Below are 18,537 nucleotides of genomic sequence, written 5' to 3'. Positions count from 1 at the left end.
AATCACAGCACTTTGGGAGGCCGAGGTGGGTGGATCACTTGAGGCCAAAAGCTCAAGACCAGCCTGGCCAACATGGTGAAACCCTATCTCCACTAAAAATACAAAAATTAGCCAGGTGTGGTGGCATGCGCCTATAGTCCCAGCTACTCAGAAGGCTGAGGCAGGAGAATCGCTTGAACCCGGGACGTGGAGGCTGCAGTGAGCTGAGATGGTGCCACTGTATCCAGCAAGACCCTGTGTCCCCACCCCCCCAGAAAGAAATCTTTACCCTCAAGGTGACAGCATTAAGAGGTAGGGCCTTTAGAAGGTGATCAAGTCAAGTCATGAGGGTGGAGCATCGTGAATGGGATTCGTGCCTGATACGGTTTGGATCTGTGTTCCCTCCAAATTTCATGTTGAAGTGTAATCCCCAGTGTTGGGCGTGGGACCTGGTAGGAGGTGTTTGGGTTATGGGGGCAGATCCCTCATGAATGGCTTGTGCTGTCCTCATGATAATGAGTGAGTTCACACAAGATCTGTGCGTGGCGACCTCTCCCCCACTCTGTCTTCCTTGCTCCTGCTCTGGCCCATGTGACGTGCCTGCTACCACTCCACTTCTGCCATGTGTAAAATCTCCCTGAGGCCTCCCAAGAAGCTGAGCAGATGCTGTTACCAAGCTTGTGCAGCCTGCAGATCCATGAGCCAATTAAACCTCTTTTCTTCATAAATTACCCAGTCTCGGGTAGCAATGCAAGAATGGCCTAAAACAATGCCCTTATAAAAGTAACCCCAGAGCGATCCACACCCTGGGTGAGGACACAGAAGGCATCATCCATGAGGAGCAGGCCCTCACCGGACAAGGTATCTGCTAGTACCATGACCTTGGACTTCCCAGTCTCCAGAACTGTGAGTACTAAACTCCCATTGTTTATAAATTATCCAGTCTAAGGTATTTTGTTGTAGCAGCACAGACAGAATAAGACACAGGCTCACGAAGCTTTACACGGCTTGGTTTGGGTTGGCCTCTGCAGATCAAGATGCTCTTTGTTCCATTACACTCTGTGCTCTGCCCACCAAGTCGCTTGTTGTCTTTCACCTCCAGGCTGCCTGGGAGGCTCTCCCAGCCTCCCTCCCCCTAAATTACTGCCAGCTGTCCTTGACATCGGGTCACCTTGTGTGCCTGCATTTCCTCATTGCAGAATTCCTCCCCGTCTCTGTGGCTGCCTGGCTGTCTCCCTCCCTGGGCTCTGCCGGGGCTCCTGTTGACCAGGCCTTTGCCTCATCACTCCTTCTTGGCTACCCCAGTCCACAGGTGGGCTCGCCATCCCCAGGAGCGCACTGGATGCTGTGGTGTAGCTGGATGGTGCTAAGCTTCGCACACCCCAGGCAGGGGTCGAGAAGACCCTCAGCCTGGCCACCATCCTGCCTCACCGGGCCATATGCCCCAAGGAACCAGGGCACACACCCTGCTGAGGAGGCTCCTTTTTCCCAAGCACCCTTGCGGGCGGCGAACCTACCTGGCGCCCAGCCTCGTTGTTGTGGCGGTTCATGGCTGAGCGGGCATCTGGCCGGTTCTCCCGGGCGTCGGCGAACTCCCGAGACACCATCCCACCAAACTCGATGTCCTCGCTACAGCCACCCCACTTCCAGCCCTTGCCTGGTGAGCCCTGGTGGCGGCTGCTGCAGCCACAGATGGCGGCCGTGCCTTCTGCACATGAGCGTGTCACTGCAAAGGCCACACCGGCTGAGGCAATGGCGTGGACAAAGGCCGACTCCCTGGTAGCTGTAGAGAGAGGAGAGATGCAGGGTTAACAGGGCTCAGCTCAAAGGACCGCCTTGGGCAGGTCAGGGGTCTTAGCCCATTTGCATTGTTATAAAGGAACTCGTGAGGTTGGGTGGTGTATAAGGCAAAGAGGCTTACTTGGTTCACGGATCTACAGGCTACACAGAAGCATGGCTCCAGCAACTGCCTCTGGCAAGGGCCTCAGGCTGTTTCCACTTGTGGCAGAAGGGAAAGGGGGCGTAAAGGGGAACCAGTGTGTGCAAGAAATTACATGGTGACAGAAGTGAGAGAGGGGAGGTTGGTACCAGGCTCTTTTTAACAAGCAACTTTGGCTAAGTACAGTGGCTCATGCCTGTAATCCCAGCACTTTGAGAGGCACAGTAGGAGGACTGCTTGAGACCAGGACAGCCTTTTCAACATAGCAAGACCCCATCTCTACAAAAACTAAAAATATTAACTGGATGTGGCCCCAACTACTTGGGAGGCTGAGGCGGGAGGATCACTTGAGCCCAGGAAGTGGAGGCTGCAGTGAGCCAGGATAGCACCACTGCACTCCAGCCCTGTCTTAAAAAACATACAGCTGGCAAGGTGGCTTACATCTGTAATCCCAGCCCTTTGGGAGGCAGAGGTGGGAGGATTGCTTGAGCCCAGGAGTTTGAGACCAGCCTTGGCAATGTAGCAAGACCCCATCTCTACAAAAAAATGTTAAAATTAGCAAGGTGCAGTGGTGTGTGCATGTAGTCCCAGCTATTCAGGAAGCGGAGGTGGGAGGATTGCTAGAGCCCAGGAGTTTGAGGCTGCAGTGAGCTATAGTCACACTCCAGCATGGGTGATAGAGCAAGACCCTGTCTTTAAAAAAAAGGCACAAGGAAGGCCAGCATGCACCTGGAAAGATGGTCGACATCACCCATCCTGGGGATGTGCAAATCAAAAAACCCAATAAGGGGCCGCCTCACACCTACGGGGATGGCTGCAATCAAAGAGTCAAAGAGTAGCAAGTGTTGGCAAGGATGTGGAGAAATCAGACCCTGACCCTTGTTCACAGCTGGATGGAGGGGAAAGGTGCAGTCCCCTTGGGAGGCACTTTGGCAGTGTCTTCAAGGGTAAACGTCCACCAGCCGTTAGGTTTGCCCCAGAGGAAACCCGTGTCTGTGCAAAGACTTGTAAGCAAATGTTCACACAAGCCACAAACTGGAAGTACCCCAATGTCCATTAACAGGGATGGTTAAAAAGCAGTGGCAAGTCTGTAACAGCATTTAATTTAGGAATAACAAGAAAAATAGCACAAAGGATCTCAAAATAATCATACAACTGAACGAAGGCAGGTAAAACCAGACAAGAGCTAATTCCTTCTGCTGCCCAGATAGCCTGGGGTGCAGACCCCAGAGTGTGGCTCCACCCCACACACCGCCCACCTCTGCTGTGCCACTTGCCATTGCCTTCCTCCACCCCAAGCACCGACACTTGCATGGCTCAGCGGTACAGCTGCCTCTTCTGGAATCTTCTCAACACCAGTGACTTCCAGTGCCCGCCTCCCCAGGGCCAGCCCCAGTGCCCCAAATGCCCCTGCCTCCAGCTTGGAAGGCTGCAGGGTGTCTGCCGCTGCTGACATTGGAGCTGCCTGGGTCCTTGTACACAGCTTCCTTCTTCCCCAAATGGGGAAATAGAGGCCAAGTTGGGGAAGTGGCATTGCTTGTGCAGAAGGGTGGTAGGGGAGGGCTGGAATTTAGGAGAAAGCTCTGGAGGCTAGGATCAGAGGGATGGGAATGAGCGGTGGTGTGGGCTTTGCAGAGGCCAGGACCCCAGCCAGGCTTCCCCAGACAGGTTGAAAGAATGAGCTGTGTCTTGGGGGTGGGTGTATGCAGACACTTCTGCAAGGGCATGAGGAGAGGGGGTGGGCCTGGCCAGGCCCTGCTTCCATTGATAAAAGACACTCAGGGCTGGGGGCCTATAATCCCAGCTACTCAGGAGGCTGAGGCAGGAAGATCACTTGAGTTCAGGAGTTCAAGGCTGCAGTGAGGTATGATTACACCACTGCACTCCAGCCTGGGCAACAGAGTGAGAACCTGTCTCAAAAAAACAAAATAAAAAGAGACAGGCACTCACTTTGGACCCACACTCTGACACAGGTGAGGAACAGAGTGCCTGCTGTTTGCCAAGCATTGCAGTCTGAGCTGGGGAACTAGCAGGGAGCCAACCAGGAAAGAGCCTGACCTGCTGCTGGGCAGGGATCTTACAGACCTAGCAAGAAGACACCTGGGCTTTGGAGCCCCTGAGCCTCGGCTTGGCCTCTGGGGGCTAGGTGTGCCCTGGGGCAGGTTCCTCCATGTCTCTGCTTCTGTTGTGGGAGAGTCCTGAGCCTCCACCTTTCCTTGGCTCTGACCTTCTCTCTCCCCTCGAGGCCCTGGGAGAGCAGGAGGGAGAAGGGAGCTCCGATGGGCCCTCTCTATGGGGATAGAAGGAGGCCTGAGGTTCTCCTGGAGCCAGGGTCCTCCCATGGGACAAGGCGGGGATACAGGGCTACGTCCCACAGTGTCCCCTGCTCCTCCTTGGCAGAGGCCTGCAATGGACCCCTTAGGGTCACAACAGAGTCATCATAGGGGGCTGTGACCTCCTCTGCCACCTGGACATCCAGGGAGCTTTCATCCTCGGGTGGATGGGGCTGATGTAGTCTGGATATTTAACCCTGCCTAGATCTCATGTTGAACTGTGATCTCCAGGGCTGGGGTGGGGCCTGGTAGAGGTGACTGGGTCATGGGGGGTGGGTCCCATGGCTTGGTGCTGTCCTCGAGATTATGAGTGAGTTCTTGCAAGATCTGGTTGTTTAAAAGTGTGTGGCACCTCTTCCCCCACTCTTTATCCCGCTCCTGCTCTCGCCACATGACATGCCTGCTCCCCCTTTGCCTTCCGCCATGATTGGAAGCTTCCTAGCCTCCCTAGAAGCAGAAGCAAGAGCCACACTTCCTGTGCAGCCTGCAGAACCCTGAGCCAATTAAACATCTTTTCTTATAAATTACCAGCCTCAAGTGTTTCTTTATAGCAATGCAAGAATGGCCTAACTCAGGGACACAGGCATGTGGTTGCAGGCTGCCTAGGAGAGGACCGAGACAGCAGCCCCTGGGGCTCGTGATGCCCTTGAGCCCAGGCCAGCTGGGACAGAAAGGCACGAGTGAGTGTGCACACACTCAGACGCTCCCACACGGCCCAACACACATCCACACACAGCCAGCACAGAAGAACGCACGTTGCTCCCATAACAAGAACATACAAAGTGGAAGGTATTTGAGGCTATGGCTTTGCACTGGCATCCCCCTGGCTGTTGACAAAGCCCCCTGAGCCCCTCGGGCCTGCTTTGGTTGACTTTTCTGTGGATTGGCCAACAGCCCCCTGATGGCGGGTCCCAGCAGCCCCGTCCCTCCCTAGGGCCCTGTCCAAGTCAGGCCTGGACACCCACTGCATCCAGCCACAAGCCCAGAAGAAAACTGTCCATTTCTTCTGTATCCACTTCCCACCACCAGCTCAGGAAGGGCTCTGCTTGCTGGCTGGAGACTGTCCAGTCCTGAAACAGCCCCAGCCGCCCAGGCTGCTGTGGCCTTCCCAGGTGGCCCTGGGGCCTCTCAGCCAATTTGCCCCTCCTGGTTCTTATCTGTGGGTCCATCTCCCACCTCGCCATGAAGAGGCCCCTAGGAGGCCCCAGCCTCCAGCTTCCTCCTTCCACCACATGCATGCACAGCCACATGCGCACATGCGTGCGCACACAGACACATGCATACCACACACACATGCACACCCCACCTGATGCACATGCACACACACATGCAAACACACACATATAGGCATGCACACCACACACATGCACACATCACACGCATGCACACACATGCACACCCCACCACACACAAGCACACATGCACACCCCACTACATACATGAACACATATACACATGCATGCAAGCACAGCATACACATGCACTCACATACATGCACATCCCCCCCACACATGCACACCATGCAGGCATACCACACATACCATACACATGCACACACATGCATGCACATACCCCACATATACACACCCCACCCCATGCACATGCACACACACAAATACACACACACACCACACAACACATACACATACATGAATACCATACACATACATGCACACACAACCCCCACATGCACGCCTCGTGCAATGCACACACAGACACATGCACACACATACATATGCATGCATGCACACCATACACACCACACACATGCACACCTCCCACGGATGCACATATACATTCACAACCCACCACACACAAACACATGCATGCACACAGATGCACACACACACACACCCCTCCACATGTGCACCACACACATGCAAACACATGCATGCACACACATGCACACCTCTCCCTCGCAACACACTATCTGCAGGCTGAGGTCTTCGCCCAATGCCAGTTTGGCCATGCCAGGCCCCCTCTGGATCTATCTCCTCTCCTGACCTCAATGCCACTCCCTGGCCTCAGGCCGCACTCAGCCCTTTGTCCTCCCCTCGGGCTCTTTCCGGTTCCTTCCTTGGCTCAGGCTGGACCTGCTGTGCCCCTGCCTGCTCTGAGGGGAGCGGCCAGGGATCGGGTGTCCTCTACACCTGGCTGCCCCTCCCCAACCAGGAAGATTTGCCCACTGACTCCCTCCCTAGCCGCGGCTGCCTAGGGGCAGGGACTGTTTGGCTCACCTTTTATTTGCAATCTGGAGCACAAGGCCCAGCCCATAGATATTTCCTGGGGCCAGAATGAAAGGCAGGAGCCGTGGGCTGAGTCAAGGAATGAGCAGGGTCTGAGCCTACCCAGAGCAGACCCACCCTTGCCCCTCTAAGGCACCCAGGCCCATCATGCAACCTCCGCTGTTTCCTTTCCCAGGGAGCAGCTAGGCAGCCACCTCCTCCGCACCTCTCCAAGAAACTTAAAGCCCCCACCCCTGACCCCATGTTACTTCCCTAACACAACTGATCAGTTCACAGACAGGCCTGGAGGGGCCTTTGCTGAACCCACTGCCTCTGAGTGAATACACGTGTGGCTGGATGCAGAGCACTTCCTCTCTAAGCCTCCAGGCCTGAGCGCCTGTTCTTGTCTTTAAAGGACTCAGGTCGTCCCCTCCCTAGTCAGCGCCCCTTCCCCTGCCATCTGCCCTGCTTCCCTTCTAGGGCAGCTTGAGAGGTAGAGTTGAGGAGTGTCCTGGGTGCTCCTGGAGCTCACGCATGGCACACAGCTCCACCTGCCCTCCTGGCCGGACCTTCTCACTCCCAAATGGCCTGGGCATCCCACACCCTGAATACCCCACCCCAGCTGAGTCTGCCTTCCCACCTCACGGCCTGGCTACTACAAGAGTCTGTCTCCAAGGCCAGCCCCTCCCTCTTGCTCCTGAGCTTCTGGTAAGAGGAGAACCAGAGCCTGAGGCTAGGGCTCTCTGTGCCTCACTCATGCCCTGCCCATAACAAGGGCCTCGAGATCCCTGCTTATCAAAACTCAGGCAAACAGCCCCAATAGCCAGACACACTCAAGGGCAAGGGCGGGTGGTGCTGAGGGCTTCCACTTGGACAGAAAAGAGCTCATTCTTGCTCAGTTTGGTCACCAGCTGGCTGAACCTTGATTTTCTCTTCCATCACATGTGGAGGTGGAGCTCCCTGCCAGGCTGAGAAAACCCTGGAGCAGGCCTTCAATTCACTCGTGAAGACTGAAGACAAGAAGTCTCTGCAGAGAGGCTCAGATCCCAGGACAGACACCCCCATCCGAGGCTGAAGTAGAAGCTGCAGGCTGCAAGACCACAGGCCAGAAAAGCGTGAGACCCTATGTTCTGGCAAAGAGAGCCTGCATTAAAGTTGAAGCCACAAGGTCTCTAAGCGGTTCCGCAACTGCTCACAGTGTTTATCAAGCACAATGGGAAAAACCTTAACTGTGCACAGGAGAAGCCTGGCAGACACCACCTTATTCTGGGGACTGAGTTAACCTTGCCTGAAATGGGACACACAATACCTTGTGGCTCCAGGGATGATGCATGAAGGCCAAATATAGCCTTTGAGGTATTCTCACCCAAAATGCACAGCCTGCATCTAATTGTCGGGAGACATCAGACCAACCCAAATTGATGGCTGTTCTGCAAAATGCCTAATTGTGCTCCTCAGAGGTCTCAGGGGCATGAGGGACAGGGAAGAGTGGAGAAGCCAGAGGCATGGCATCACCAAAAGTAACAAGGGACCCAGGAGGGGGTTCTGGGACAGAAAAGGGATCTTGATAGAAAAACGAAGGAAAGCTGAGTGACGTCCAGAGTGTGGTGAATAGAACACATTTAGTTTTGAACAATTGGCATAGTTATGCACCACTGGGTTGGACGAGGGGACCCAGGACTCTCAGTGCCACTCCTGCGATGTTTATGAAAGTCTGAAATTATTTCAAAATAAAAAGTTAAACCTGGGCAACATAGCAAGACCCCCTTTCTTAAAAAACAAACAAACATAAATGAGCTGGGCATGGTGGTGTGCATCTGTAGTCCTAGCTACTTGGGACGCTGAGGCAGGAGGATTGCTTGAGCCCAGGACTTCAAGGCTGCAGTGAGCCGTGTTCACACCATTGTACTCCAGCCTGGGAGGCAGAATGAGACCTCATCTCTAATCTAAAAATAATAAAATAAAATAAATAAAAAGTTAAAAAATGTCCTGAAACCATGCAGAAGGAAGACCCCCCAGAATGTCCAAGTGGCAGGCACAGCGGCAGGAGATTTGAGCCTATGGGTTGGATTCCACCCAAGGTTCTAGAGGGAATCTGCAGCAGGTTCACTACCCTCCCAAAATAGCACAAACGATGGGGTATGTCTGGGAGCACGGGCATCTTTCTGGAGAGAGAATCCATTGCTTTGATCAGATTTCCACAGGTGTTTGAAGCATGCAGGCTATGAACCACTGCCCAGAGTCACCTCTGTTTACAGAGGAGCTGACTCAGGGCTCCCCTGAGGCCAGGACTTACGTCCAGGCTCTGGAGTTCTGGCAGCCAGCCTCCACGGAAACCAAGTTCTCTACCACAAACACCTTTGTCAGGGGTTTCTGCTTTTGTTGACACAACAGAGTCAGCTATGGGGGTGAAACGGAGGCATCTTGCCCGTGGGAAGTGCCAGCCATCCCAGAAGGCCAGGAAATCATCCCAGTCAGCAGGAAAATGCCTTCATTAGAGTGGACTGTCGGAGTTCCCACTGGAATGGGACACAGGCTACTGGGAGGCAGGGTGCTTAGACACAAATGCTGCCAATTTGGCCAAGTCACCTGGGAAGGAGCCTGGCTGAACTTTTTGAGCCACCTAAGGCCTGCCCCATTCAGGCCCAAGACTTTTATTCTAACACAGCAATCAGTTGTTGGAGAAAGGAAGAAGAAAGGAAACTGCATAACAAAATTGTTCTGTAAGGGAAGTATCTTCCACCTGGGAAAACCATCTTTCCCAGAAACTTGTTGTGGTCTCATTTAGCAGTTATTTACTGAATTCATCCAAAGTATCAATTATCTATCTTTCCTTCCTTTCGTTCATTCATCCATCCGTCATCCACATCTATCCATCTATCCATTCATCTATCGTGCATCATCCATCCATCCATCCATCCATCCATCTATCCATTACCTATCATACATCCTCTACCACCACCTACCATGTATCCACTTATAAATTCATCTATCCATTCACCATCCATCCATCCATCATCCATATATCTACTATCCATCATGTACAATCATCCACCATCCACCACCCATCTATCCATCCACCCATCACCCATCATCTGTCATCCACATCCATCCATCATCCATTATCCATCCATCCATCATCCACATCTATCCATCATCCATCTATCATCCATCATCCACCATTCATCCATTCATCATCCATATCCATACATTATCCATACATCTATCATCCATCATCCACCATCCATCCACAATCCATCCATTGTCCATCCATTACCCATCATCCACCATCTACCACCACTCATCCATCCATTCACCCATTATCCATTCATCATGCATCCATCATCAATTCATCACCCATCCACCATTCAACCATCATCCATCCATCATCCCCTTCATCATCTGTACATTCATCACCTATCTGTTGCCCATCATCTGTCCATCTCTAATCCATCCATCACCATTCATCCATCACCATTCATCCATCATCCACCCATCATCCATTCATCCATCTATCCACCACCCACCATCCATCCATCATCCATCCATCCATCCAGGATCTGAGAGTCCCTAATGAGCCAGGCACTGGGCTGAATGAGGAATATGAGATGAATAAGAAGCAAGGTGCCCACTCTCAATAACCACAGTAAAAAAAATCCTCCAGAGGCTGGGCGCGGTGGCTCACAGCTGTAATCCCAGCACTTTGGGAGGCTGAGGTGGGCAGATGACGAGGTCAAGAGATTGAGACCATCCTGGCCAACATGGTGAAACCCCGTCTCTACTAAAAATACAAAAATCAGCGGGGCATGGTGGCGTGCACCTGTAGTGCCAGCTACTCAAGAGGCTGAGGTGGGAGAATCGCTTGAACCCGGGAGGCGGAGGTTGCAGTGAGCCGAGGTCACACCACTGCACTCCAGCCTGGCAACAGAGGGAGACTCCATCAAAAGAAAAAAAAATCCTCCAGAAAGTGGACTGCTGCTCAATATGATACAATTTCTAACAACCTAGGCTTTCTGAAAGTTGAAGGAGTTCCTGTCCTGGTGATAATAAAACAGAGGTTGGATGACCCACTTTCAGGAGAAGAGAGTCCTTGCCTTGGTAAGGAGAATGAACCAGGGGAAGCCTTCCCTATCTCTGGTGGGAGGCTTTGTTGGTGTGTGTGTTAGGTTTTTTGCCTGGGACTGTGCTAAACCATGTGCTTTTGGGAGCTTACAGTTCACAAGGGAGGCAGTAGAGAGGACAAGGACACATAGCAAGGCTTGACAACATGAGCTCTGAGGCAGGCCTGGGATGGGAGGGTGATGAATAATGGGTAGATGGATGGGTGGGTGGATAGATGATGGATTGAGGGATGGTGGATAGATGGATGATGATGAATTGATGGATGGTGGATGGATGGATGGATGGATGGATGGATGGATGAATTGATGGATAGATGGATGATGGATTGATGGATGGCAGATTGACAGATGGATAGATTGATGGATGTTGGATGGTGGATGGATGGATGGATGAATTGATGGATGGTGGATCGTGCATGATGGATGAATGGATGATGGATGGATGGATAAAGTCGGAGAAGGTGAGGGAGTTCTAGGTGGTAAGAGGTGGGCATTTAGGGAAAGGCAGAAGAGCTGCCAGGCAAGGCTCCATCACAGCTGAGGGCAGTGCAGTTGTCAGATGCAGGGAATCATGAGATGAGCTTTGATGGTTCCTTTGTCTCTTGCATCTCAGAACTTTTGGACTAGAGGGATCTTAACAAATCCTTCGTTTCTAGGTTTGGATTTAATGGGCTTTTCAAGTATCAGAGAGCATCTGGGGACTAACAGAGGACTGCCAAGTGCTTTTATTTTGTTGAGACAGGAAAAGATATAGATAGATGATAGATAGATGATAGATAGATAGATAGATAGATAGATAGATAGATATAGATATGTAGTAGATATTATATATATATATATATATATATAAAATATCTACCATCATAACTTCAGAAAAGGACCTTTGAACATCAAACAGGAAGGATATGTTTCCAAATTCTTTTTTTTTTTTTTTTGAGATAGAGTCTCGTTCTGTCGCCCAGGCTGGAGTGCAGTGGCGCGATCTCGGCTCACTGCAAGCTCCACGTCCCAGGTTCACGCCATTCTCCTGCCTCAGCCTCCCGAGTAGCTGGGACTACAGGTGCCCACCACCATGCCCAGGTAATTTTTTTTTGTATTTTTAGTAGAGAAAGGGTTTCACCGTGTTAGCCAGGATGGTCTCGATCTCCTGACCTCGTGATCCGCCCATCTCGGCCTCCCAAACTGCTGAGATTACAGGCATGAGCCACTGCGCCCGGCCATGTTTCCAAATTCTTAAACGTTGAACAACATTTGCCCAAATCATTCCAAAATCCTTGTCTTTCACATTTCACTAAAGTTGCTCAGTTGCCACTATTTATTACGCAGTGACTGTCTTTTAAGTGGCAAAGAAGGCTGCAGCCTCTGTCCTCTCAGAGCTGACCTTACCATGGGGAGGTGACCCAAGAAGCATTTCGGCAGGGACAGGTGTTTGCTCAGAAGGTAGCTGCTGAGGCAGCATAGCATGGAGGCTGCCCTGTTAGGGGGTGACAGTGGGAAAAGCAGGTCCAAGCCGATCCTTGTATTAACTAATGAGAGAAGTGGCCCCAACAGGAAGATGGCTCAGAGAGGGTCAGCCATGGGCCCCAGGCTGCACAGCAGTGAGTGCAGAGCCCAGACAGAGGGGTCCCAAGAGAGGTCCCTGAACTCATCATTATGGGCTCCTGCAGCTCCAATGGGTGTTCCCATGGCTGGCGTTTCCATGGCCATAGCCTCAAGGGAGCAGGGAGCCCACCTGCCTGGCTGGGCCCCCACTGCATGGCTGAGGGGGACATGCCTATCTGTGGAAAGGCTGTGGGGGCTGATACAGGGCGAGAGGAGAGGGACAGCCTGGGACTCCTGGGCTCCTGGGACATGCCTGTTGGTCCAGAGGGGACTCCTGAGTGGCTTTTCTGAGGGACAAACAACTTGAAGGAGGGAAAGTTCTGGGTCAGGGGGTGGGGATTGTTGTTAAATGCGACCATAGGACAATGAAATCCAGCTCCTCGGGGAGGCAGAGTGCTCAGTCTGAAGGGCTTCACCCAGGCTGGCCCCTCTGGGAAGCCCATCAGGGAATTAGGACTGGAGGCTTCCAACAATGGTCATGGCTGGGGGGCCAATGAATCACTGCAGGGCCGCCCTGGGGACCCAAGTTCAACTGGGGTGGGGGGCACCTATATCTTAAAGGGTCTCCAGTGATTCTGATGCATCAACTGAGATGAGATCTCCCAAGCTCAGATTCCATTCCGTGCTGACCCCTCCTCTGGGCTGTGACCAGAAAGAAGGCTATGGACAGCTTGGCCATGACTTTGTAAGGGCTCTATGGGACCCTGGACAAGACCCTGAACAGGAGCCTGCCAGGAGAAGGGGGTTGGGAGGGTGTCTCTGATATGCTGATGGCCATCCCCCCATGAGTAGACAGTGGTCATTGGGTCTCTGGCCTGGCCTCTTCCTGGAGGTGGGTACCTTGGTCACAGGCTCTGGGATTCAGGGCCCTGGCTGCTGGCAGCTGGTGGCTGGGCTGCTTAGTCTGGGAAGGGGGCTATGGTTCTGCCTCTGTGGCCCCATCCTGGGGCAGCTGACACCTCCTTTCCTAGGAGCTTGGGATGCCGCCTTTGCCCAGTCTGCTTCTTGATGTTGACCCATGCTCACCTGGCCATGCCTCCTGGGGCCCTCCAATGCTGTCCCCAGCCCCTGGAAACCTGTGGCTTCGTCTCTTTCCCCTGGCAATGCTGACTGTCTGGCTGGACACCCCCAGCTCTGGCAGGGATGCACTGGCCGAGGGCAGGACTCCATGGTGGCCAGTCCAGCCGGGTGCTGGGGGCCCAGACTCCCAACATTGCCCACTGCCCAGGAGAAAAACTCTGCTGAATCTCCACCGGGAAGTTCTCACCTCCACTGTGACAAAAAAATGCCCTCTGTCCCCCAAGTGCACCCTACTGCAGCCAGCTTCTCTCCCCAGGTCTGCAGGGCAAATGCCCCACCCCACAGGCCTTCCCCCTGCCTGATCTGCCAGCCCTTTCCATGCACCAGTGAGGAGCAGTCTCCCTGTACTCCAGGGACTGGCCTTCAGGCATCCTGGGGGATGGAGGGTCACAGCGAACACAGCCCCCCGTGCACGCTGCACCCTGTATGATTACCACACCCCCACCACATACCTGGGACCCATAGAGTTGTGGGGACAGTGGCCACCCCGAATGCATTGGGTCCCTCCCTCCTGGTGCTGCCCCCATCTCCTGCCTGCTCACGCCACAGCTGCTGGAAGGGGCTGGCTGAGTGAGGGGGGTGCCTTGGATCCCAGCTAGGACCACCTGACCAGACTGGCCAGGGGCCTGCAGGTCACTGTGGCCCCAAATGTCATGTCATCTGGGGACCATCGCCCCTGAAAAAGGACAAGCAAAGTCCTTCTCGTGCCCATCGGGAGGCCACAACAGGCTTCCAGAGCAGCCAACGCGTGGGCCCTTTTCCCCCACTGAGGCCTGAACACAGGGGAAGGAGAAGACCCTTTGCTGTGGGGCACACAGGGGGACTCAGCCCGCGCCCCGGTCCCCGCCGGAGCCCGCCGGAGCCGACGCCCGGGCGCCTCCCCTCGGGGGCTGCCCACCTTCCCTCATTCCTGCGGCCCCAGGAGGAGCCAGGCGGCCGGGAGGGGGTGTCGCGGTGGCATTTGGTAATCATGGCCTGCACAAAAGGCCCCGGAGCCACCTGAGAGCGGAATGCGGCCCGCGCCCCACCGCGGCCACGGCCCCTGACACCGCCGGGCGGCCCGCGCGGCCGGGCGCCGTGCTGACCCGCTGGGGCGCTTGAATCCGGCTTTGTGCGCCACTGTCACGCCGAGTTAGGCCCACAATGGCCGGCGATATTTTATATGAATTTCCCCCTAGTCGGTGATTAGGCGAGCGCAGGCCAGTCATAGCAACCTGGAAGTATGCGCCGCGCGCCAGGCCGTCCGGCGCGAGGGGAAATCCCCATTCAGACGCTTTAATTCAGCACCGCGAAGGGCGTGTGAACCGCCCGCGCATTTGCACTCTCCCCTTGTGCTTAATCTTGTCGCCGTCGCTGGGATATTGTGCTCCCAGCCGGACGCGGCGGGGAGTCGGCCGGGGTTCCCCTCCCACTGGGGAGAGTTAATGATATACCAGAGAGGCCGCTGGAGCCAGGGGAGCCCCCCACCCCAACGCATCTTAAACGGCAACACTTTCCGATGGGGGGGGTCAGGGGTCGCAACCTGGCTTTGGGGACGCTGGTTCCCTAAAGAGCTGCCCTGTGTGTCCCCATGTCCTAGCAGGCAGGCCCCACCCCTGTGCCGGCCCTCATAGGCAGGGGACACACAGGGAGGTGGCGGACCACCCCCGAGGGGCTCCTGGGGGCTCAGCGGGGAGGAGAGGAGGCTGGGCTGTCTCCTGCCTGGGGAAGACGTTGGAGAGATGAAGGGGGACTTGTGGGGCACCCAACAAGGCTTACTGACATGTGGTGCGCAGGACCCTTTCATTACTCTCCCCACCCTTTGGGGCTGGAGGGGTCCTGGGGCACCAACCAGGAATCTGGCCGTGTGCTTTGAGTGGGGATACCCTGGGGTTCACAGAATAGGGCAGGGGGTGGGGACTGGAAATGCTTGAAGAGGGGGTGGTGTGTGAAGGCTGAGTGGGAGGGCCACTGCTGCAGGCCCCACCCACACTGGGTACGAAGAAGCAAACCCCAGGGCTCTGGGAAGTGTCCACTGGGAGTTGTGGGAAGCACACTTACTTGGGAAGCACAAGAGATTGCATACCTCCCCATGCCACTCCACTCCCCCCGACCTATCTGGCAGGTGCCAGGGCCCGGGGGGACTCCTGGGCCCAGCCCATGTTAGAGGGCACCGAGCATGTGGGCACAGGTGGCATCCCTAGGCTCCAGGCCTCGCCCGCTCCTGGCCTCTGTCCCCTTCTCTAAGGAGCACATGCCCCACCTGGCCTAGAGCAGGCCAGGCTCTCTGCAGAGCCACGTGCTGCCTGAGATCCAGCTGCTGGGCCCTGGGCTGCTGCATCCACTGCAGCCGTCCCTGCCCTTTCTCTGTACCTGTGTCCTTGCCAGCTTTACCTTGCCAGGGGTCAAGAGTGAGGTGTCTCCAGCTCTGCAGGGAAGTGAGCCCTCCCAGTGCCTGGGTCCTGCGGCAGGGGACAGAGAAGCTGCACGGTGTGCCCAGTCTCCATGCACTTAAAATTCCTCAAATGCTTTCTACCCCAGGCAGGTTGAATGTCCTGCTCCTTTTGGACCCCAGAAGAGAGGGCTCTTCAGGGACCAGGCTCAGCTTCTGTGACAGAGCCCCATGTTCCAAGGACTGATGGTTTCTCCCAGCCTCAGTCTGGTGGCCCCAGTCCCCAGCCCCAGGCCAGGTGGACGGCAGATGGGGATGAAAGCAGGAGGTGTGAGGATATGAAGCTTCTTCCTTCATATGTTCACACTCATGCACACACACACACACACATGCACATGCATACACACAGGCATGCACATATATGGCTTATGTGCACATATAGGCACACACATGCACCCCTCACAATGCACACGCTAGGGTGTACACTCACATGTGCACACACACACAAGAGGCTGGGCCCCTCTCTTCACAGCTGACTGAGGGTTTTTAACTGTGTTCAACAAGGCCATCTTGGCAGGGGTGGTCAGGCACCCTGTGGCCACTGCCACAAAGCCTGGGGTGACCTTTGACATGATTAGGGTTGCCCTGACCCTAATCCAATCATATGATTATGGAGAGCGCAGCCAGGGCCTCCACAATGGCCTCCTGAGCAGGCCTCTCTCTGAGGCACCCGGCGGGCTCCTTCCTCCCAGGCCACCAGGACTCCAAGCATTTCTGAGTCCCCATGGCAGGCAGGAGGGAGGAGCCGGGACTTCCCCTTTCCTACTTAAACCTATTTAAGCCATGAGGAGGTAGGAGGGGTTCCAGACTGTGTTCCTCTATCAGAAAGGGGAGGAGAAGGGGGTAGTAGGATCAGAGAAGCGGAGAAGGAGAGGGTCCAGGGGAGGTAAGTGGGATGGGAGGGGAGGCTAGAAGCACAGCAGGAGCTCAGCCCTTTGCAGAGAGGCCGGCATAGCAGCAGGAAAACAACCGGAAATGGGGGCTCCCCGCCCCAACCCAACGCTGGCACCTTAGGGCAGGACCTGGGCATCTGTGAGGCCCACTTGCCCCTGGAGAGCCTGCGGCATTAATCCAAGAGCCCCATTGAGAAATTCTCAGTGACCGCTCAGATCCATCCCCGCCCTGCCCGGAGGGATGCACACATGGGGACCGGGTATCCTCTGGAGTCCTACCTTCTCTGCTTCCTCCCGGGCTGCACCTGCCCTCCCTGTGGGCTTGGGGTTCCTCCAGTGATTCCTAAACTGTATGCTCCAGCTAGGCTCTGTCACTGCTGGGCCTGCCTGAGGGCTCTGCTCACCCCCACGTCAGCCCCAACCTTGGCATGGGCTGTCCCCTCTGCCTGGGGACTTTGGAGCCAGGCTGCCAAGGTTCATGTCTCTGCTTTGTCACAGTGATTCTGCTTCCTCATTTGTAAAACAGGGTCACCGCACTGCTGGCCTCAACAGATGGGCATGAGGATTCAACTGGCCATGGTGTGTCGAACACTTAAATGGTGCCTAGAAAATACTGCATATGTGTGTGTTTTAAAGGAAGAAAATCCTTCAAGATTCAGCCCAGGGGCCACCTCCCCTGGGAAGCCCTCCTGGGATTCCCCGAGTCATGCACCATTGTCCTTAGGTCACTGGCTTAATACATCATTTCTAAGCATATGCTGTGTGGCAGAGTGCATCTCTGTGCTTTCCCAGGGGACCGACTGTGTACATTTGCGCCACATGTATACCTGTGTGGCATATGCTATAGGGATGCTGTCACACACCAGACCCATGGGAGACCCCCAAGGGTCCCAGCTCTTGTTCCAGGAGACTCCTGGATCTTCCTGGAGTGTGCCATACCCTAGGGAGTTTCTCCCAGAAAGCAAGAGTGGGAGCCATTGATAATGACTGGGACTTGTGAAAATCAGGCACCTTTAATTCCCTGTTTTCCACAAACTTTAAGGAGGACCTAACTGAGTCATGGGCTGATAGGATTTTTTCACATTTTGATGATAGGCCACCATGTGATTTTTGGCATATATAACTCTAAAAAAATTCAAAGAATTGAGAGATGCATGGTAACTAAGTGCTCCCATTTTTATCTATTTATTTATGTGAACAAAGTTTTTCTCACATCTAGAACTACTAAGTTTAAAAGCAAGAGGGGCCTACCTGCAGCTAACATCCTATCCAGTGGTGAAAGACTGAAAGCTGTTTGTCCACTCTCAACTCTGCTATTCATCATGGCACTGGAGGCTCTGGCCAGGGCAATTAAGGAAGAAAAATGAAAAAACTGCATCCAGATTGGAAGGAAGAAATAAAACTATCTTATACGTAGAAAGCCCTAATGAATCTGCAAATTAAAAAATACATTAGAACTGATCAACAACTCCAGCAAGGTTACAGAGTACAAGATCTATATTAAAAATCATTTGTGTGTGTATGTGTGTGTGCGTATGTGTGTGTGTTTTTTTGAGACAGAGTCTCACTCTGTTGCCCAGGCTGGAGTGTAGTGGTGTGATCTCAGCTCATTGCAACCTCCGCCTCCTGGGCTTAAGTGATTCTTGTTCCTCAGCTTCCTGAGTAGCTGGGACTACAGGCATGTGCCACCATGCCTGGCTAATTTTTGTATTTTTAGTAGAGACAGGGTTTTGTCATGTTGGCCAGGGTGTTCTTGAACCCCTGACCTCAAATGATCTCCCTGTCTTGGCCTCCCAAAGTGCTGGGATTACAGGCATAAGCCACTGCACCTGGCCTCATTTGTGTTTCTATACACTAGTGACAAATAATTAAAAAATGAGATTAATAAAACAATTTCATTCACAACAGCATCAAAAATAATAAAATACTTAAGG

At 53.9% G+C, this 18,537-nt stretch overlaps 1 protein-coding gene across 1 annotated transcript in view, besides 2 other annotated features; it reads right to left on the bottom strand.

The window, feature by feature from the left end:
• The window catches only part of WNT3A (Wnt family member 3A), a 54,274-nt gene that overhangs the window by 8,854 nt on the left and 26,883 nt on the right, over positions 1–18,537 (bottom strand). The window contains exon 3 of the mRNA NM_033131.4: positions 1,497–1,762. Within this exon, the coding sequence (NP_149122.1) occupies positions 1,497–1,762 (266 nt within the window). The remainder of the gene's footprint in view (positions 1–1,496; positions 1,763–18,537) is intronic.
• Positions 3,248–3,454: a silencer, noted in NCBI's record as "fragment chr1:228236665-228236871 (GRCh37/hg19 assembly coordinates)". NCBI's record gives its function as "represses an EF-1alpha promoter that drives an FKBP-Casp9 reporter gene in an ReSE screen in phorbol 12-myristate 13-acetate-treated (for megakaryocytic differentiation) K562 erythroleukemia cells {active_cell/tissue: K562(+PMA)}" and the evidence as "EXISTENCE:reporter gene assay evidence [ECO:0000049][PMID:32094911]".
• Positions 15,164–16,127: an enhancer, noted in NCBI's record as "H3K4me1 hESC enhancer chr1:228223992-228224955 (GRCh37/hg19 assembly coordinates)". NCBI's record gives its function as "activates a minimal SCP1, AML or CMV promoter by ChIP-STARR-seq in naive H9 embryonic stem cells {active_cell/tissue: H9 hESC(naive)}" and the evidence as "EXISTENCE:reporter gene assay evidence [ECO:0000049][PMID:30033119]".

The sequence above is a fragment of the Homo sapiens genome, chromosome 1 (genome assembly GCF_000001405.40).
Source record: "Homo sapiens chromosome 1, GRCh38.p14 Primary Assembly".
Taxonomy (NCBI): domain Eukaryota; kingdom Metazoa; phylum Chordata; class Mammalia; order Primates; family Hominidae; genus Homo; species Homo sapiens.
Note: the sequence above shows the minus strand (reverse complement) of the source record. Positions and strands in the feature narration are given on the sequence as shown.